This window comes from Homo sapiens, chromosome 5 (genome assembly GCF_000001405.40).
Source record: "Homo sapiens chromosome 5, GRCh38.p14 Primary Assembly".
Lineage (NCBI taxonomy): Eukaryota > Metazoa > Chordata > Mammalia > Primates > Hominidae > Homo > Homo sapiens.
Genome location: NC_000005.10, coordinates 64,386,796 through 64,409,504, shown reverse-complemented (window position 1 = coordinate 64,409,504; position 22,709 = coordinate 64,386,796). Strand labels below are relative to the sequence as shown.

The 22,709-nt window shown below is 34.7% G+C and overlaps 2 annotated features.

Annotated features, from left to right (window-relative positions):
- Window positions 1,511–2,011: an enhancer, noted in NCBI's record as "H3K27ac hESC enhancer chr5:63703321-63703821 (GRCh37/hg19 assembly coordinates)". NCBI's record gives its function as "activates a minimal SCP1, AML or CMV promoter by ChIP-STARR-seq in naive H9 embryonic stem cells {active_cell/tissue: H9 hESC(naive)}" and the evidence as "EXISTENCE:reporter gene assay evidence [ECO:0000049][PMID:30033119]".
- Window positions 2,012–2,512: an enhancer, noted in NCBI's record as "H3K27ac hESC enhancer chr5:63702820-63703320 (GRCh37/hg19 assembly coordinates)". NCBI's record gives its function as "activates a minimal SCP1, AML or CMV promoter by ChIP-STARR-seq in primed H9 embryonic stem cells {active_cell/tissue: H9 hESC(primed)}" and the evidence as "EXISTENCE:reporter gene assay evidence [ECO:0000049][PMID:30033119]".

Genomic DNA, 22,709 nt, shown 5'->3' with positions numbered 1-22,709 from the left:
CCTGAATATCCTTGTTAATTTTCTGTCTTGTTGATCTGTCTGATATTGACAGTGGGGTATTAAAATCTCCCACTATTATTGTGTGGTAGTCTAAGTCTCTTTGTATGTCTCTAGGAACTTGCTTTATGAATCTGGGTGCTCTGGTATTGGGTACATATATAATTAGGATAGTTAGCTCTTCTTGCTGCATTGTTCCCTTTACCATTATGCAATGCCCTTCTTTGTCTCTTTTGATCTTTGTTGGTTTAAAGTCTGTTTTATCAGTGATTAGGATTGCAACTCCTGCTTCTTTTTGCTTTCCATTTGCTTGGTAAATATTCCTTCATCCCTTTATTTTGAGCCCATGTGTGTCTCTGCACGTGAGATGGGTCTCCTGAATACAGCACACCAATGGGTCTTGACTCTTTATCCAATTTGCCGGTCTGTGTCTTTTAATTGGGGGCATTTAGCCCATTTACATTTAAGGTTAATATTGTAGTGTGTGAATTTGATCCTGTCATTATGATGCTAGCTGGTTATTTTGTCATTATTTGATGCAGTTTTTTCATAGTGTCAATGGTCTTTACAATTTGGTATGTTTTAGCAGTGGCTGGTACCAGTTGTTCCTTTCCATGTTTAGTTCTTCCTTCAGGAGCTCTTGTAAGGCAGGTCTGGTGGTGACAAAAATCCCTTAGCGTTTGCTTGTCTGTAAAGGATTTTATTTCTTCTTCGCTTATGAAGCTTACTTAGTTTGGCTGGATATGAAATTATGGGTTGAAAATCCTTTTCTTTCAGAACGTTGAATATTGGCCCCCACTCTCTTCTGGCTTGTAGGATTTCTGCAGAGAGATCTGCTATTACTCTGATGGGCTTCCCTCTGTGGGTAACCCGACATTTCTCTCTGGCTGCCCTTAATCTTTTTTCCTTCATTTCAACCTTGGTCAATCTGATGATTTTGTGTCTTAGGGTTGCTCTTCTTGAGGAGTATCTTTGTGGTGTTCTCTGTATTTCTTGAATTTGAATGTTGGCCTGTCTTGCTAGGTTGGGGAAGTTCTCCTGGATAATACCCTGAAGAGTGTTTTCCAACTTGGTTCCATTCTCCCCATCACTTTCAGGTATGCCAATCAAACATAGATTTGGTCTTTTCACATAGTCCCATATTTCTTGGAGGCTTTGTTCATTCCTTTTTATTTTTTTTCTCTAATCTTGTCTTCTCTCTTTATTTCATTATGTTGATCTTCAATCACTGATATCCTTTCTTCCACTTGATCGATTCGGCTACTGATACTTGCGTATTCTTCATGAAGTTCTTGTGCTGTGGTCAGGTCATTTATGTTTTTCTCTACATTGGTTATTCTAGTTAGGAATTCAACTAACCTTTTTTCAAGGTTCTTAGATTTCTTGCATTGGGTTGGAACATGCTCCTTTAGCTCAGAGGAGTTTGTTATTACCCACCTTCTGAAGCCTACTTCTGTCAGTTTGTCAAACTCATTCTCTGTCCAGTTTTGTTCCCTTGCTGGTGAGGTGTTGTGATCCTTTGGAGGAGGAGAGGCATTCTGGTTTTTGGAATTTTCAGCCTTTTTGCACTAGTTTCTTCCCATCTTTGTGGATTTATCTACCTTTGGTCTTTGATGTTAGTGACCTTCAGCTGGGGTCTTTGAATGGACGTGCTAATCCTTTCTGTTTGTTTCTTTTCCTTCTAAAAGTCAGGCCCCTTTGCTGCCTGTCTGTTTGAGTTTGCTGGAGGTCCACTGCCAACCCTGTTTGCCTGGGTATCACCAGCGGAGGCTGCAGAGCAGCAAAGATTGCTGCTGTTCTTTCCTCTGGAAACTTTGACCCAGAGGGGCACCTGCAAGATGCCAGCCAGAGCTCTCCTGCATGAGGTGTCTGTCGGCCTCTACTGGGAGGCTTCTCCCAGTCAGTATACACGGGGGTCAGGGACCCACTTGAGGAGGCAGTCTGACCCTTAGCAGAGCTGGAATGCTGTGCTCAGAGGTCCGCTGCTCTCTTCAGAGCCATCAGGCAGGGACATTTAAGTCTGCTATAAGCCCCTGACTGGGGCTGCTGCCTTTTTTACAGAGATGTCCTGTCCAGAGGGAAGAAATCTAGCAGTCTGGCCACAGCAGTCTTGCTGAGCTGCAGTGGGCTCTGCCCAGTTTGAACTTCCTAGTGGCTTTGTTTACACTGTGAAGGTAAATACACCTACTCAAGCCTCAGCAATGGTGGACACCCCTCCCCCCACCAAGCTGGAATGTCCCAGGTGGAGCTCAGATTGCTGCTCTGCTGTCAGTGAGAATTTCAAGACAGTGGATCTTAGTTTCCTGGGCTCCATGGGGGTGGGACCCGCCAAGCCAGACCACTTGGCTCCCTGGCTTCAGCACCCCTTTCCAGGGGAGTGAATGTTTCTGTCCTGCTGGCATTCCAGGCACTACTGGGGTATGGAAAAAAAAAAAAAAAAAAAGAGCTCCTCCAGCTAGTTCGGTGTCTGCCCAGTTGGTGGCCCAGTTTTGTGCTTGAAACCCAGGGCCCTGGTGGACTAGGCACCAGAGGGAATCTCCTGGTTTGTGGTTGCGAAGACCATGGGACAAGCACAGTTATCTCTTCCAGAGTTCCTCAGGCTCAGACCCTCAAGGCTTCCCTTGGGTAGGGGAGAAAATTCCCTGACCCTTTCTGCTTCCCAGGTCAGGTGACACCCCACCCTGCTTCGGCTTGCCCTCCGTGGACTACACCCACTGTCCAGCCAGTCCCAGTGAGATGAACTGGGTACCTTATTTGGAAATGCAGAAATCACCCACCTTCTGCGTTGATCTCACCGGGAGCTGCAGACTGGTGCTCTTCCTATTTGGCCACCTTGAATCTCCCCCGACCCCCTTTTTTTTCTTTTGGTATATGTTAGAAGAAGTTCTGTGCCCAACTGATATGCAATTAGATGGCTGTGAAATTACAGTAAGAAAATCTGAGCGCAATCTTGGAAATTTGGTAACTAAGGCAATGTTAGAAGCTACTCTTGCAGATGTAGCACTACTTAATTTAGGTGATTTCGTTATGCAGTTTGTTAAAAATAAACAGTTATACTTTTTAAAGGACTAAAACTAGTTTTTAAAACTTATAGTTGCAGTAGACTGTTTTTATTACATGCAAAGTCCTGTTTAGAAATCCATTCCATCAACTTCATGAGATTAGTTCTTCATTTTCTGTTTTTCTCTGGTACAGTATACACAATTAGTTGTTTATTTGAAAATTAAAGCATCAGGTTTTAAAAATTCTGACTTTTGTATTCAGTGAGATTTTGAATGAAGATGTACCCGTGTTATTCATTTTAAACTTGGTGTGCAGTGAATTGTTGATTATATGGGAAGGAATGGACTGAAATTTTTACTGCAGCTTGGACCTTGAGTTCTTGGCCCTCATGTAAATAGAAATTAATGCCAGGCCAAATATAAACTTTCTTCAGGCAATGTTTAATAGGCTTGCAGCTTTAACAATCACAAGGGAGCAGCATATAGGAAGGGGATCCTGGTGCTAGCTCCCCAAGGGGCTAGGCTGTTTTCATTTTAAGGAAGTTGAGATGGGAAAAGCAATGATATACAAGCATGTTTAGGCAGGGTTTTTCCATGCTTGTGTAGTGGGACATCATGCTTTAACATGCATCACATGACCAGAAAGTGTTGGATATGCCCCATCTTGAGCAGAGATTTTAGTATTACAATGAGATTATAATGAGGAAAAAGTCAGTAAAATATCAGTGCTGGAGTCCATCTTGTCTTCAGCCACTGGATCTGGTCAGGTTCTCATCAGGAATGCTACAGTCTTATTTCAGTGACCTTGGAGGGCATGACTCAAAGAGATAAATGGTTAGGTTCTTCCTTTTATAATTAGGAATTCAGCCTGGTCAGCTAAGTTAGACAAGGTCCCCTTTCCTGCTATGTGACATGAATAAGCTTGTTAAGGGAGGAAAAAAGGTAGGAGAGGGAATATGCTTGGACACGTAAGGCCCATCAGGCCCTTGGTTACCATGTCACTTCTCTTTCAGGACTGAGTCTCTTCCCTATATTGCCTGAAAATCTTTTATTTAGGTTCTTGCTCTTTTACCAGTTTTCTTTTCTTACCTGTGCAATAAGAGGAACTGATAAGAGAAATCTTGTAGGGTGAATGGGGAGACTCCTCCTTAATCTTAGTATTTTTGTGTACTACTGTAATCATCTGAAGTTGTCCTAGCTAGGGTTATAAAGTATTAAGAATCTCTGTAGAGAATAGAAAATTAAAACCAAGTCTTTTGTTGAAAGCAACCTTGATTCATGTGCCATAATCCAGAGCTTTAGATGCTGTGACAAGGTTACTGATTATTTAAAAAATGTGGAATGTTGCATCATGTAACATCCTAACAACAAACTTCTTATAATGCCATTTTCACTGAAAATACAAGTGATCTTAATCTTCCACATGGATAATTAAGTTAGTTTATGGAAAAATTTCCTAAGAGTGAAATTTGTAAAGCTTTCGTATTGTTTACTTAGGAAGTTTCTGGAATTCCTTTCTTTGGAGATCTTTAAAAATAGAACATCTTGGCTTTGGCATGAGCCTGTCTGAAAGCCAGAGTAGAAATAGTAGTTTTTCAGTTGGAATATTCTGTAAAGAGAAAATGGTAGCTAACATAAAATCACATCTTCTAAAAAGGAATAGGTTAGATATAATCACATGATTAAGATGGAAGTAAATGTGGAGAAAGGATTGGAGAAATAATTAGGAAATTTTGGCAATGTAGTGTATAACTGTAGTTTTGAACATAGTATTGAGTCATAAAGGTGATATTTTATGGAAAATATTAAAATACGTATTTTTTTCTCTTAAATTGCTGTAGGCCGTCTCAGATCAGATCGAATACGTCCAGCGGGGAATTTCACTTTGCATGATCTTTTGGCTATTCTTCCCATAGTGGATACAGGTTTAGTTGTCAGAGTGACAAGGTGCTTAGCTGCTTGAAACACTTGAAAATGGAGTTTATAAGTACCCTCTCCAGATGGGAAGTATGTATATATACTAATTGATGTACTCATCAACTATTTTTTTTTTTTTGTATCATGGAACTGAAAGAAAACTCTGTATTTAAATGTGAGTTAAGATTTAAAAATTTTAAATATATAAAGCTTTAAAATTTTAGTACATAAAGGTGATTTTTAAAATTCTCTTTTAAATTTTTAAATTCTTTTTAAATCCTTTTTTAAATAGTGTGAGATTGGCAAAGTGTTGGTCTATAAAAATTATACTTTGTATTAAAAATTAGGATTATTTTTAGATGTATATGGTTATTTTGGGTGAGTCCTTAATTTCAATATTTAAGTACATAATTTTTTTTCTTTTTTTTCCTTGTTTAAGAAATAAGGTACTACCTTGTTGGCTGGATTTATATCCAAATCCCGCTGTAGAATTCTTAGGTAAATGGTGCAAAACTAGTAGATTTAAAGGGTTAAGGTACTTCTCTCCCTTCGTCTAACTCTTAAACAAAAATATATGATGAACCAGTAATTCAACATTGTAATCTATGGTATCATTATACTGTATATATTATAGAGTATTAAAGTGGCAATAGTTAAGGTGCTGAAAAAAGAATGAGACCAACCATCTGGCAAGAAAGCTTAAAGAAAAATCTTTTGCTTTTATAAAATATTACACCAAGTTTTGTTTAAAACGTTTTATTGAGATATTTACATACCATACAATTCAGTCATTTATAGTATACAATTCAGTGGTTTTTAATATGTTCACAGACTTGTGCAGTTAGTACCACAATCAGTTTTAGAATATTTTCCTCACTCGGAAAGGAACCCTGTATCCATTAACAATCAGTCACCATTTCCTCCCAAAGCCCCCAGCCCTAGGCAACCACTAATCTATGTTCTGTCTCTGGGTTTGCCTATTCTGTACGTTTCACACAAATAGAATCATACAGTATGTGGCCTTTTAACTGGCTTCTTTCACTTAGCATGTTTTCGAGGTTCATCCATGTTGTAGCATGTATCACATTTTTTATTGTTGAATAACATTCATTATATAAAACATTTTTCATTCATCAGTTGGTGGACATTTGGATTATTCCCACTTTTTGGCTATTATGAATAATGCAGCTATGAAAATTCATATAAAAATGTTTATGTGGACATATATTTTATGTCTTGGGTTATATCTTATGAATAGATTTGCTGGGTCATATGGTAACTCTTAAGTTTAATCTTTTGAGAAACTGACAGACTGTTTTCCAAAGTGGCTGCACGATTTTAAATTCCTCCCAGCAGTGTATGCAGGTTTCAGTTTCTCTACTTCCTTGCCAACATTTTCTGTTTATTTGTCGTTTTGCTAATAGCATTCTAATAGATGAAAAGTAGTATTTCATTTTGGTTTTGATTTGCATTTCTCTGATGTTTGTTGATATTGAGCATCTTTTCTTGTGCTTATTGGCCATATGTATATCCCCTTTGGAGGAATGTCTATTCATATATTTTGCTCTTTTAAAAACTGTTTTTTTTAAATTATAGAGTTATAGGAACTCTTGGTATTTTTAGATAGAAGTCTCTTATCAGTGATATATGATTTGCAAACATTTTATCCCTTTCTGTAGTTTGCTATTTTACTCTGTTGATGGTGGGCTTTGAAGGACAAAAGTTTTTAATTTTTAGTATCAAATTGATTTATGTTTTTCTTTTGTTGAATGTGCTTTTGTTGTAATAGTAAGAAACCATCGCTTAATGCAATATCATAGAGATTTATGTCTATGTTTCTTCCAAGAGTTTTATAATTTTAGCTCTTACTTTTGGGCCTCTGATCCATTTTGAGATAAATTTTGCATAAGGTGTAACAAGATAGTTCAACTGCATTCTTTTGCTATGGATATCCGGTTATTTCAGATCATTTGTTGAAAAGGCTACTGACCCCACCCCCACCACCCACAGAATTATCCTGGTACTCTTGTCAAAAATCAATTTACCATAAGTGTAAGGGTTTATTTCTAGCCTCTCAAGTGTGCTCCATTGACCTATGTATGTCTTTTATTAATGGCAGTACCACATTATCTTGATTATTCAACCTTTGTAGTAAGTTTTGAAATCTGGAAATGTGAGTCCTCCAACTTTGATTTTTTTCTTTCAAGATTGTTTTAGCTATACAGGGTCCCTTGTATTTCCACGTGAATTTTAGAATCAGCTTGTCAATTTTTGCAAAAAAAGGCAGCTGGGATTTGATATGAATTGCATTGAATATGTAAATTTGGGAGTATTGCCATCTTAACAATATTAAGTCTTTTACTGTAATGGTACAGAATGTCTTACCATTTATTTAGTTCTTTAATTTCTTTAAACAGTGTTTTATAGTTTTAAGAAGTTTTACACTTCTTTTATTACATTTATTCCTAAATACTTTTTTATTTTGGATGGTATTATAAATGGAATTGTTTTCTTAATTTTTTTAACTGTTCATTGTTAGTATATAGAAATACAATTGAGTTTTATATATTGAGTCAATTATGTCTTAACATCAAACCAACTTAGCACTAACGTAGAGAAGAAACTCAAGGAGAAATTTACAATAGTGTAACTGGCTTTCTGTATATATAGTTTAAAGTGAAGTGCTTAGGAAGATCTATAAGGACCTTCTTTTTCAAAAGTAGAAATGTTAATTTCACATAATAAGTGCAGTTAAGAAAAGTAAGCTATAGCCAGTAGTGTTTTTTTTCACAAGTAGTCAATTTCTTGATATTCATTATTGGTGTGTATTGCAAAGGGATTTCCAACATGATTTTAATTTAGCCTAGATTTTAGACCAGTTTTATTTAGATTTTTGGTTTTTCTTCAACCTTTAGTTATATTACTTGACTTTATAGCTCTTTATCCTATGTCCTCCTTTCCAGTATTGGTCATTTCCTTCAGGACAATTACAAACACAGGTAGAAATGGATTTTATGAGGACTGCATATATTCTGATCCTGGAAGCAGTTTTTTTTTTCTCTTGCAGTCTTTCTGGTGTAAAATTATTCTATGTCATTTTCGTTTTTGAATATTTACAGTATCGAAATAGTATCTTGCATACAGTAAGGCATTTCATAAATTCTTAGCTGATTTTACATGATAATATGGAATTACAGGCAATAATTAATAATATTTTCACCTATTTTGCTGGAATAAAGTCTGAGGGGTAGGCATAGCAGGAGCAGGATAGATTTTTGGGAGTCAAAAGTAAAACATTTTAAAAGATTATGTTATACTATTTCAGACTTTGTCTTGGTTGACTGAGTTTCAGCCAAATTGTAAAATGTTAGTTTAGTAGGGTTAAGATAGTGTTAGGAAGGATGAAGCAGTTACAAAGAGATAATGTCAGATATGTAGAAGTGCTTTCTAGTTCTTTCTTATCAGTGTGGCTAATGGGTGTTCTAGGATGAAAACTAACCTGAACTAGTTGACAGGTGTTGCTGTTTGCCTGGAAGTGGGCTCACTGAAACAGGCATCGTTCTGGCTGTCAGAATTAACTGGGCTGGGAAGGGGAAACTGATAAAATGCCAAAATCAACCAGCTTCAGACCTGTAGAAGTACTTTGTCAGCTTTTCTTAGTGAACAGCTATCGGCCAAGCATTCGCATGTGCCCTGTCTCAGGTAATCATGAAACTGCTGTGTATATAAATTATTGTATTATTTAGTGTTAACTACTAATATATTTGCAGGAAAATCATCAGTGATTTAGACTCCAAGTCTGCCTTTAGGAAAAGCCTGAGTTTTCCAGTTAGGGTTAACTCTTTCATACCAGAACTTAAATTTTATCCTTTTGGGTGAAAACTTAGTATAATATACTATCTTGTCTTCTGCCTTCAAATATATCACTAAAGTTTATCCTGTTTAATGACACAAAGTTGTCATCATTAACTGTGGGTACTATAATGTGCTGAAGATATAATTATATGCAAACAGTGATGTAAGTCCTCACAGAAATAATTTACTTGGATTTTGCTCTCTTGAAAAAGTTCCAAATATCACTTAAAAAACTTAATAGCTCTATTGACATATAATTCACATAGTTCACCCATTTAAAGTATACAATTAAATGATTTATCGTATATTCACAGTTCTGAACTATCACCATAGTTCATTTTAGAATATTTTCATCATCTCAAGAAGAAACTTTGTACTTATCAACAATTGCCTCACATTTTCACAAAACACCTTCAGTCCTAGGCAACCGCCAGTCTACTCTTTCTGTATAGATTTATTTACTCTGCACATTTCATGTAAATGGAATAACATTATAAGTAATGTTTGTGATTGTCTTCTTTCACTCACCAAATATTTTCAGGTTTATCCATGTCGAAGCATGTATCAGTAATTCATTATTTTTTATTGATGAATTATAGTCCATTATATGTATAAACCACATTTTATTTATTCATCAGTTGATGGACATTTGATTATTTTTGCTTTTATTCTATTATAGATAATGGTGTAATAAAATTAATGTACAAGTTTTTGTGTGGGTCTGTGTTTTCATTTCTTTTGGGTATTTACCTAGGAGTGTAGGAGTGGCTCTTATTTTTTGATTATTTGCTTTTTGTTTCTCATAAAGGTGGAGTTATGCATGCACATTGGCAAGACATCTTATCTTGGGCAGTGTAAAATGTAGAATGGCTGCCTTTCTGTAAAATTAATTAGCAGATCAAAGACTGAAGTTTTTCATAAGTGGCTTTCCCTCTAGAATGTTACCATCTTTGTTTTTTTTTTACTGTTGTGTATTTTTCACTTGTTAGCACCATTTTAAAAAATCATCTAAATATTATAAGAAATATTGTAAGATTGAAAGTCCTGGATAGTATGTGCATGATGAACCCATTATCTCATGTAGTGTCTTCATAGTTTGAATAGTATCATTTTGCATAGGTTGAATTACTGTGGTAACACTGAGGGGCAGGACAATGGAAAAAATATTCCTAGTCACTAACAATGCTTTGGGAGTAAATTCTAGAATTATGTTATGAAACAATAGCTTTGATATTCTTTGATAAGCTTATGAATCTGAAAAGATTATTATTTCAGAAAAGCCAATTAAAATCACTGATAAAATATTATCTTAATTTATTATTTATTATTTTATTCATCAAAAATTTATTGAATCCCTGCTGTGTACTAGGCACTATAATTGGTTCTGAAGATTAAAAAAAATAAATAGGGCATGGTTTATGCCCATGAGGAGCTTGTCATATAGTAGATTTTATATCTATCTGTATCTATGTACATATACATATGCATACATATCTCTCCCAAGAATAACAGTACAGCAGATCCCTGAATAACATTTCATTCATCATCATTTTGTTATATATATATATTTTTTCAACTTTTAAGTTCCGGGGTACATGTGCAAGATGTGCAGGTTTGTTACATAGATAAATGTGTGGCATGGTGATTTGCTGCACAGATCAACCCATCACCTAGGTATTAAGCTCAGCATCCATTAGCTATTTTTCCTCATACTCTCCCTCCTGCTACCCTCCTCAACACGCCCCAGTGTGTGTTGTTCCCCACCATGTGTCCACGTGTTCTCATCGTTCAACTCCCACTTACAAGAGAGAACACGTGGTGTTTGGTTTTCTTTTCCTGTGTTAGTTTGCTGAGGATAATGGCTTGCAGCTCCATCCATGTCCCTGCATTCTTTTTTATGGACATGATCGCATTCTTTTTTATGGGTGCATAGTATTCCATGGTGTATATGTACCACATTTTCTTTATCCAGTCTATCATTGATGGGCATTTGGGTTGATTCCATGTCTTTGCTATTGTGAATAGAGCTGCAGTGAACATTAGCGTTCATGGATCTTTATAACAGAATGATTTACATTCCTTTGGGTATACACCCAGTGTTTTGGTCTGCTCTCATGCTGCTAATAAAGACATACCCAAGTCTGGGTAATTTATAAAGGAAAAAGGCTTAATTGACTCACAGTTCAGCATCGGTGGGGAGGCCTCAGGAAATTTACAATCATGGTGGGAGGTGAAGCAAACTTGTCCTTCTTCACATGGTGGTGCAAGAAGTGTAGAGCAGGGGCAAAGGCCCCTTATAAAATCAGCAGATTTCATGAGAACTCACTTATATGAGATTAGCATGGAGGTAACCATCCCCATGATTGAGTTACCTCCTACCAGGTCCCTCCCACGACATGTGGGGATTATGGGAACTACAATTCAAGATGAGCTCCAGATGGAGACACAGCTAAACCATATCATCCAGTAATGGGATTGCTGGTTCAAATGGGGTTTCTGCTTCTAGATCTTTGAGGAATCACCATGCTGTCTTCCACAATGGTTGAACTAATTTACACTTCCACCAACAGTGTAAAAGCAACCTCATCATCTGTTGTTTCTGGACAATTTAATAATCGTCATTCTGACTGACATGAGATGGTATCTCATTTGTGGTTTTGATTTGTATTTTTCTAATGATCAGTGATGTTGAGCTTTTTAAAATATGTTTATTGGCTGCACAAATGTCTTCTTTTGAGAAGTGTTTGTTCAATCATCACAAAGACCTCCCTCATATTACCTACTCTGTATGGTCACACCCATCACTTTCCCTCTCACCATTTCTAATACGTGGTAACCACTACCCTGTTCTCCATCTCTGTCATTTTTTTTCATTTTGAGAATATGAGATAAATGGAATTATAAGTAATGTGATGTTTTGTGATTGGCTTTTTTTCACTCAGTATAATGCCCTTGAGATGTATCCAAGTTATTGCATGTGTCAGCAGTTCATTTCTTTTCCTTACTAAGTAATATTGCATGGTATGGATGTATAGTAATCCCCCTCTTATCCAACTGGGATACATTCCAAGATCCCCAGTGGATGACTGAGAAGCCACAGATAGTACAAAACCCTATATATACTATGTTTTTTCCTATACATACAGATTGATGATAAATTACAAATTAGGTGTAGCACTCTTGTGTTTTTGGGCTACTAAGTAAAAAAAGGGTTACTCATTTACTGTAGGGCTACTAATAGCAAATAGAAGTAAAGGTTAAAATAAGGGTGCCTGTGTTACAAGCACTGTGATACCGCAACAATCAATCTGATAACTAAGTGACTGACAGGCAAGATTTCACCATGCTACTGAGAACAGTGTGTAATTTAAAACCTGTGAATTTTTTCTTTCTGGAATTTTCCATTTAATGTTTTCAAACCACAATTGACTGCAGGTAACTGAAACTGTGGAAAGTAAAACCGTGGATGAGGGGGGAATACTGTACACCAGTTTAACCATTTACTTATTGAAGAACATTTTGATTGTTTCTTATTTCTAGTTTTTAGCTATTATAAATATATCTGCTATGAGAATTTTGTGTATGTGTTTGTGTGAATGTAAAATTTCACTTCTCTATAATAAATGCCCAGGAGTGCAATTTCTGGAGCATATGGTAAATACATATTTTATTCCTTAAGAAACTGCCGGCTGGGCACAGTGGCTTATGCGTGTAATCCCAGCACTTTCGGAGGCCGAGGCAGGTGGATCACCTGAGGTCAGGAGTTCGAGACCAGCCTGACCAACATGGTGAAATGCCATCTGTACTAAATACAAAAAATTAGCCGGGCATGGTGGTGCATGCCTGTAGTCCCAGCTACTAGGGAAGCTGAGGCAGGAGAATCATTTGAACCCGGGAGGCGGAGGTTGCAGTGAGCTGAGATTACACCATTGCACTCCAGTCTGGGCAACAAGAGTGAAACTGTAAAAAAAAAAAAAAAAAAAAAAGAAAGAAGAAAGAAAGAGAAAGAAGGAAAGAAAGAAAAGAAAGAAAGAGAAAGAAGGGAAGAAAAAAGAAAGAAAGAAGAAAGAGAGAGAAAGAAAGAAAGAGAAAGAACGAACGAACGAACAAACGAAAGAAAGAAAGAAACTGCCAAACTCTTTTCTAATGTGGCTGTACTATTCCCACAAATAGGGCAGTGATGTTGAAAATCTTTTACAGTGCTAATTTACCATCTGTATCTCCTCTTTGGTGAAATGTCTGTTCATGTTTTTCTTGGTCATTTTTAAAGTGTATTGTTTTTTCACTGTTGAGTTTCAAGACTTCTTCATACATTCTAGATATCAGTCCTCTGTCAGATATGTGGTTTGCAAATGTTTTCTTCCAGTTTTTAACTTGCTTTTTCATCTTCTTAATAGGGTCTTTCACAGAGAACAAGTGTTTACCTTTAATTAAGCCCTACTTATTGATTTTTTTTCTTTCATGTATTATGCTTTTGGTGTCATGTTTAGGAACTCTTCACCAACCTGAAGATTTTCTCCTATGTTTTCTTCCAAAAGTTTTATAGTTTTATGTGTTATATTTAAATCTGCAATTCATTTTGAGTTAAATCCTGTATAAGGCATGAAGGTTAGGTTGAAGATCTTTTTTTTTTTTTTTTTTTGCCAATGAATATCTGATTCCTCCAACTTATTTTGCTATCCTTCCTTCATTGAATTACTTGTGTACCCTTGTAAAAAAATCAGTTAGCCATAATAATGTGGGTCTATTTTTGGGTTTGCTATTCTGTTTCATTGGTTTATGTTCTTTTCCAACAATACTACATAGTCTTGATTATTATATTTTACATGTCTTGAGACCACTTTTTCCTTCTTTTTCAAAATTGTTTTAGTTATTTTAGTTCCTTTGCCTTTCCATATTAATTTTAGAATAAGCAAGTAGAAAATTTTGCTGAATTTTAATACGGATTATGTTAAACCTGTGTATCAATTTGGGAAGGACTGACTCTTCACTATGTCGAATCTCCCAATCTATGAATGTGGTAAGCCACTCCACTTTATTTATATATTTCTCTGATTTCTTTAATCAGTATTTTGTAGTTTTCAGCATATAAGTCCTGTAAATTTTTTTTAAGGTTTATACTTAAGTACTTCATTGTTATGTGCAAATGTGAATGGTCTTGTATTTTTAATTTTGTTTCTGTGTGCTCTTTGTTATACAGATGCTCCTCAGTTTATGATGTGGTTTTGTTTTGATAAACCCATCATAAGTTGAAAATGCTGTAAGTTGAAACTGCGTTTTCTACTTAAGGTATTTTTAACTTATGATGAAAATGGGTTTATCCAGATGTAACCCCATTGTAGGTCAATGAGCATAGGGAATGCATATCATTTCCACAATTGGAAGTCAAAACATCATAGGTTGTGACGTTTGTATAGAAATATCACTGATTTTGTCTATGGCCATTCCACCCTGAATGCACCTGATCCTGTCTGATCTCAGAAGCTAAGCAGGGTTGGGCCTGATTAGTACTTGGATGGGAGAAATATCATTGATTTTTGAATGTTGATCTTGTATCCTGTAATCTTACTAGTTAATTCCAGGAGTTTATTTGTGTATTTCTTCAGATTTAAACCATGTGCCATCTGTAAATATGGAAAATTTTTTTCCTTTACAATCTGTATGCCTCTTATTTCCTTTTCTTGCCTTATTGCACTGGCTGGCACTTCCAACACTGTAGAATAAGGTTGGTGAGAGCAGACATACTTCCCTTCTCCTAATTTAAGGGGGAAAATCACTCATGCTTTCACCATTGTGATGTTAGCTGTAGATTTCTTGTAGATGCTCTTTATTAAGTTAAGGAGATTCTGCTCTATTCTAAATTTTTGGAGAGTGTTTAATCAGGATTGAATTTTGAATTTTTTCAAATGCATTTTTTGCATCAATTCATAAGATCATGTAATTTTGCTTCTTTAGGTTGTTAATGGGAACCATCCTACATCCCTGAAATAAACTTAACTTGATGAAGGTATACTTTTTTTATATATTACTGAGTTCTATTTTTAATATTTTGTTAAAGATCTGTGTGTCCATATTTAATATTCAGAAGGGATAATAGTCTGTAGGTATTGTTTTTATCATCTTTTTCTGGTTTTGATATTAGGGAAATATTGGCTGCATAACATGAATTGGTAAGCATTCTTCCTCATCTGTTTTTTGGTAAGATTGTGTAGAAATAGTGTTAATTCTTTTTTAAGCATTTCATAAAAGTCTTCATTAAAACCCTTGGGGCCAGATGTCCTTTTTTGGAAACTTACTTCATTATAGGTATACACTAAAATTCATTTATCCATTCACCTAATTGTGGACATGTGAGTTGTTTCCAATTTTCTCCTTTTATAAACAGCATTGATGGGTATATCCTCTCACACACAATATTGTCTGTAGAAGCACCAACTTTCTGTAGGATGTACACATAGAAATGGAATTGCTGGGCACGTACACATTCACTTTTACAAAATTTCATGACCCTGTAGTGGTCATAAAAATTAACACTCCCACCTGCAGTGTATAAGGTTCAAATTTTCTCATTTGGTATTGTCAGATGCTTTAATTTTTTCCAATTTCATCATTAAGAATTATTCCAGTATGGGCTGCTGTATAAAAAAGATGGACTGAGAATTTAGGTATAGTTCCTAGAGCACTTGCTTTAACTCTTTTTGTTCTCTACTGAGCTATAGCTTTAAATACCAACACTAGCTGAGAGCCAATACTCTATCATGTTATGTGTGATCTTTGTCATCACATGCAATGACTGCCTTCTCTTTCCTCCCATGTTTTATTTACTTATTTATTCAAAAAATCATCAATAAAATTGATTTTTTTGTTATACATGTCAGTGAAGCTTAACAATACATGCATAGGTTTATGTAACCATTGCCTCAATCAGAAAAGTTCCATCATCTCCCAAAAAACTCATTCATGCTATTCTTTATAATGCAGTCCTATATTCCTCCCTTCTTAAGCTCTACAACCACTGATCAAGTCTCAATCACTATAGTAGTGTTTTTCTTTTTGATAATGTTATGGAAATGTAATTATACAGCACATAACTTTTTGAAAGTAGCCTTCTTTCACTCAGCATAATACTTTTGACATTCATTCAAGATGTTGAATGTTAAAAGTTTGTTACCTTTTATCGTTGAGTAGCATTCCATTGTATGGATGTATCCCAGTTTGTTTATCCGTTTGCCCACTGAAAGACCTTTACGTTATTTCCAGGTTTTGACAATTATGAATACAACTGCTATAAACATTTTGTACAGATGTCTATGTGAATATAAATTTTCATTTTTTTTCTGGAATAGGTGGCCAGGAGTGGGATTGCCTTGTAACCTAGTGTATATTTGTTTTTACAACAAACTGCTGACTTTTTCCAGAGGAGCTGTAGTATTTTTACATTTTCACCAGCATTATATGAGAGTTTTGACTGTTTGCTGTTCTTACCAGTATTTTTATTTTATGTATTCTAATTGGTCAGTAGTAGTATCTCATTGTTGTTTTAATTTGCATTTCTCTTATGACTAATGATGTTGAGCATCTTTTTATGTATTTATTTTCTATCCATATATCCTCTTTGGTGAAGCATTTAAATCTTTTGCCCATTTATATATATATATTTTTTATTTTCTTACTGTTGAGTATTGATACTTTTTGGAATGTTCTGAACACAGGAAATTCATTCCAAGTTATTTATATATATGTCTATCAGTCTGCAGCTTTTCATTCTTTTCATTGAATATCTTTTGTAAACAAATTATTTTAATTTTAATAAAATTTATTTTTTTCCTTTATGGATCTCGCTTTTGGTATCATGTATAAGAATTATTTGTCTGACTTCAGTTAACAAAAATATCTTCTATTTTTTTCTAAAAGTTTTACATCATTTAGATCTGAGATTTATTTTGAGATTTTTTTGTATAAGTTGTGAGATTCATACTGAGATATTTTTGTATATGTTGAAATTCATTTTATTTTCCATATGGATGTCCCATTGTTCCAATACTATTTGTTGTATAGACTAACCTTTCCCTATTGAATTCTTTTTGCATCTCTGTTAAAAACCAGTGGCCAAGACAGACAAAGATAAAAGAAGGAGAAGACACAAAATACCAGTATCAGGAATGAAACAAGATATTACTATAAATTCTGTAGTCATTAACGGAATAGTAAGGGAATACAGCAAATATCTCTACATAGATAAATTTGATTTGACAACTTAGAATAAATGAATCAATTCCTAGAAAACTACAAAATACAAAATTCATCCAAGATGAAATACAATATTAATCCAATAACCTTTAAATAAATGGAATTCATGATTTAAGAGCTCCCCCAAAAGAAATCTTTAGGCCAACATAATTTCTCTGGGGAATTCTATTGAACATTGAATTTAAAATTAACACCAATTTTGTACAATCTCTTCCACAAAATAGAAGAGGAGGAAACATTTCCAAATCATTGTATGAGGGTATTATTACATCAATACAAAAACCAGACAAGATAGTGCAAAACAATACAGTTACAGAACAATATCTTATGAACTTGGGCACAGATATCCTCAACAAAATGTTAGCAGATTTAATCTCATAATGTATAAAAATAATTATAAAACGTGATCAATCATGGTTATTCCAGGTGTGCAAGGCTGTTTCAATATTTGAAAATCAGTCAATAAAATTCACTATATCAACAGGCTAAAGAAGAAAAATTACATTAATTGATGCAGAAAAGACATTTTACAAATTGCTTATTTTTGGTAAAAATTCTCAGCAAATTTGAAGAAGAGGAAAACTTCCACAACTTAATAAAGAACATCTATAGAAACCTAAAGCTAACATCATACTTCTGAATCTTCTTCCCCAATATTGGAAATAAACCAAAGATAATCTGCTATCACCTCTCTTATTCAATACAACACCAGAGGTCCTAGCCAGTGCAACATGCAAGAAAAAAAAAGGCATACAGATTAGGTAGGAAGAAATAAAATTATACTTATTTGTGGATGACATGAAGGTCTACATAAAAAATTCCCAAGAAATCTACAAAAAATATCTCTAGAACTAATAAATGAGCTCAGCAAGGTTGCAGGCTACAAAAATCAATCACAGTTCCATATATTGACAATGCACATGTGGAAACCAAAATTAAAAACACAATGCTACTTACAAATTATTCAAAGAATGAAATGCCTTAGTACAAATCTAGCAAAGTATATATAGAATATGTATGCTGAAAATTACAAAGTATTGATGAAAGAAATCAAAGGAAACTTAACTAAGTAGCAAGATGTACCATGTTCATGGATTGGGAGACTCAACATAGTAAAGATGTCATTTCTCTCCAAATTGAACTGTAGGTTTAATTTAGTATCTTTCAGAATCCTAGAAAGGTTTTTGTAGACGTAAAAAAGTATACTCTAAAATTTATATGGAAATGCAAAAAATCTAGACTCACATAATTTTGGTAAAGAAGTGTAAAATGTGGTGAATAACTGATGCTCAGACTTTACATAACTACAGTAATAAAGACTGTGGTATTTAATGGAGGAATAAATACATAGATAATGGAACAGAATAGAGAACCCCAAAATAAACCACACACATATGCTGAATAGATTTTGACTTAAGCTTCATGCCTTATGTAAAAATTAACTAAAAATAGATTAAATACTTAAATTTAAAACATAAAACTATAAAACTTTTAGAAACATACATAGGAGAAAATCTTTGGGATCAAGGACTAGGCAGAGTCCTTAGACTTGGAAAAAGCATAATCCAAAAAAGGAAAAAATTATAAATTGGACTTTATCAAATTTGAGAACTTTCATGATCTGAAAAACATTGTAAAGAGGATGAAAACAAGCTACATACTGGGGGGGGGAATATTCACAGAACACATATTTAACAAATAACTTGTATCTAGAATATATAAATACCTCTTAAAACTCAGCAGTGATGAAAAAAATTGCCCAATTAAAATGTAGGCAAAAGATATGTACAGATGGTTTATCAAAGAGAATAGTCAGATGAAAGATAATCACATGAAAATATATTCAATATCATTAGCCATTAGAGAATGACAACACTACAATATATATCACTAGATACCTATTAGAATAGCTAAAAGTTAAAAAAAAATAGTGATAACACCAAATGCTGATGATGATGGAAGACACCATGTTGCTGGTAGGAACATAGAGCCTCTCTGGAATAGAATAGGGCAAATTTTTTTTTCCCCAGAAAATTACTCCTTATCATATGACCCAGCTGTTGAATGTTTAAGCTTTTATCTCAGAGAAATGAAAACTTATGTTCACACAAAAGCTTATGCCAAAATGTTCATAGCAGCTTTTTTCATAATAAGCAAAAACTGGAAACAACCTAATTGTCCTTCGATAGGTGAATGGTTAAAGAAACTGTGGTACCTCCTATCACCCCTCAAAGAACTCTGTCATGCTATTCTACGTAGTCATATCTTCCTCCCTTTTGCAACCACTGATCTATTCTCAATCACTATATATGTATTTTTTCTTTTTGATAATACCACATAAATGTCATAATACAGTATATAACCTCTTGAAAGTAGACTTTCACTCAGTATAATATCTTTAAAAGTCATTCAGGTTGTTGATATACTACTCTAATATAAAAAAAGAACAAATAACTTATTCACACAATAATTTGAATGGATCTCAAGGGCAGTATGCTGAGTGGAAACAGCCAATCTCAAAAAGTTATATACTATATAATTCAATGTATATAACATTTCTGAAATGCCAAAATTGTAGTGATGGGGAACAGATTAGTGGTTGCTAACAGGTGGGGAAGACTGTCCCTATGAAAGGCTAGCACTAAAGGTCCTTGTAATGGAACTGTTCTATATTTTTACTGCTGTGGTGGTAATATGAATTTGCACATGTAATAAAATTGCATAGAATACACAGACACATAAATTAGTTGATGTAACTGGTGAGATCTGAATTCACTTTACCATTTAAAAATAATTAGTATTTCAGTATTTTCTGGAGATGTTTGGTACTTCTTAAAAAAGTTTGCTTTCCAACTGTAGATTCATAGTATATTGAAATATGGTCAATTTTTCATGTTGGTTGTATTGTGTCCTCATGCTATATTCAGATATTGTAGCAGTTTGGTGTAGATTTCTTGGGATTTTCCTCATGGACAATCATGCCATCTGCAAACAGAGACAATTTAGTTCGTTCCTATCTCTTTCTCTTGCTTTATTAAATTAGCTAGGACTTCCAGTATGATGATGAATAATTTGGTGAATGTGTTTGTCCTTGCTTTGTTTTCCCATTACAGGAGGAAAACATTCAGTCTTTCACTGTTATGATTTTATTTATGGGATTTTTAAAAATGATGAACTTTATCATCTACCAAATTATAGGGAGCTGAGGAAGTCCCTTTCTATTCCTAGTCACTGAGAGTGTTTTTAAAAAATCATGAATGAATTTTGAATCTTGTCAAAAGCTTTTTTTGTATTAATTGAACAATCATGTATTTTTTTCTTCTTTAGACTGTTGATATGGTGGGCATTGATTGGTTTCTTAATGTTGAACCAGGCTTACATTTTTAGAATAAACCCTAGTCACGGTGTATTCATTTTTTGGTGTATTGTTGGATTTGAATGGATATTGTTAAGGCTTTTTTTTTCCACTTCTATATGAAGAATATTGTTGTGTAGTTTTCTTTTTCTATACTGTCTTTGTCTGGTTGAATATGAAGGTAATGCTGGTCCCATAAAATAGGTAGTGTTTCTTTCTCTTCTATTTTATGGAATACAGTAGTGATATTATTTCTTTTTAAAATGTTTGGAGGCCAGGCGTGGTGGCTCACACCTGTAATCCCAGCACTTTGGAAAGCCTGAGGTGGGCGGATCACTTGAAGTCAGGAGTTCAAGATCAGCCTGGCCAACATAGTGAAACCCTGTCTCTGCAAAAATACAAAAATTAGCCAGGCATGATGGCAGGTGCCTATAATACCGGCTACTTAGGAGGCTGGTGCAGGAGAATCGCTTGAAACTGGGAGGTGGAGATTGCAGTGAGCCGAGATGATGCCACTGCACTCCAGCCTGGGTGACAGAGTGAGACTCTGTTTCAAAAAATAAAATAAAATAAAATAAAATAAAATGTTTGGTATAATTCACCAGTGAAACCATTTGAGTCTAGAGATTTCTTCTTTGGAAGGATTTTGACGACAGATAAAATTTCTTTCTTTTTTTTCTTTTTTCTTTTTTTTTTTTTTGAGATGGAGTCTCACTCTTTCGCCCAGGCCGGAGTGCAGTGGCGCTATCTCAGCTCACTGCAAGCTTCGCCTCCCGGGTTCACACCATTCTCCTGCCTCAGCCTCCCGAGTAGCTGGGACTACAGGCTACAGGCGCCCGCCACCGTGCCCGGCTAATTTTTTGTATTTTTAGTAGAGACGGGGTTTCACCGTGTTAGCCAGGATGGTCTCGATCTCCTGACCTCGTGATCCGCCCGCCTCGGCCTCCCAAAGTGCTGGGATTACAGGCGTGAGCCATCGCACCCGGCCAAAATTTCTTAATATAGTACTGTTTGGTTCATTTTGGGTGAGTCTGGGCAGGTTGTGGTTTTTGAGGAATTGGTTCATTTTATTTAAGTTGTTGAATTTCCTTATGTAGAGTTTTTCATAGTATTCCTTTATTATATTTTATAATGTCTGTAGGGTATGTAGTAAAAGCCCTTTTTTACATCTGATATTGGTAACTTGTATCTTCTTTCTTTTAGTCTTGGTCAGTCTTTCTTGATAATTAACAATAATTTATTGATCTTTTTAGATAATCAGTTTTTTATTTCATTGATTTCCTTTATTGATTTCTGTTTTCAGTTTCACTGATTTCTGCTCTTATTTATGTCACTATCTTCTTTACATTGCTTTGGGTTTATTTTTCTCTTTTTCTTGTTTCTTGTGGTGGAAGCTTAACTTGTAGATTTGAGATCATTGTTCTATTTTAATATGAGCATTTCATGCTGTAAGTTTCACTCTAAGGACTACTTTAGCTGTATCACACAGATTTTGATATGCTATATTCTTATTTTTGTTTAGAATATTTTTAAATTTTCCTTGAGACTTCCTTTGAACTATGGATTATTTAGAAGTATGTAATTTAATTTCTAAGATTTTCTTGTTACCTTTACTACTGATTTCTAGTTTAATTTTATTATAGTTAGAAAATATATGTTGTAGGATTTCAGTTCTTTGATATTGAAAGAATTTTATGACCCTGGATATGGTCTGCCTTGATTAACGTTCCATGTATACTTGAACAGAATATATTATATATCCCACTGTTGTAGGAGAAATATTCTGTAAATGTCAATTAAATCAATTGGGTTCAGTTCTTCTCTATCCTAAAAAATTTTCTGTTAACTACTTCTGTCTGTCTGAGTGAAGAATATTCAACTCTCCAACTGTAATTGTGGTTTTGTTTCTTCTTTTAGTTCTGTCAGGTTTTGCTTCATGTATTTGTAGCTCTGTTGATACATATGCAACGTTATATCTTGTTGACCAGTGGACCATTTTACTTTTATATAAAGTATTGGGCTCCGTAAACTCTGACTCAAACTATGGCAGGCCAAAATCCAGCCTGCCATCTGTTATTGTAAATAAAATTTTATTAGACTACATTCAAGCCTATTCATTTATGTATTTTTTATGGTTTGTTTTGTACCACAGTGTCAGAATTATACTTTTGCAATAGAGACTATACGGCTTGCCGAGACTAAAATATTTATCTGGGCTTTTATAGAAAAAGTTTATTGTTCTCTGATATAATATCTCTATCACTGGTAATTCACTTTGCTCTGTAGTATACTTTGGCTGGTATAAGTATATCCAGTCTAGCTTTCTTTTGACT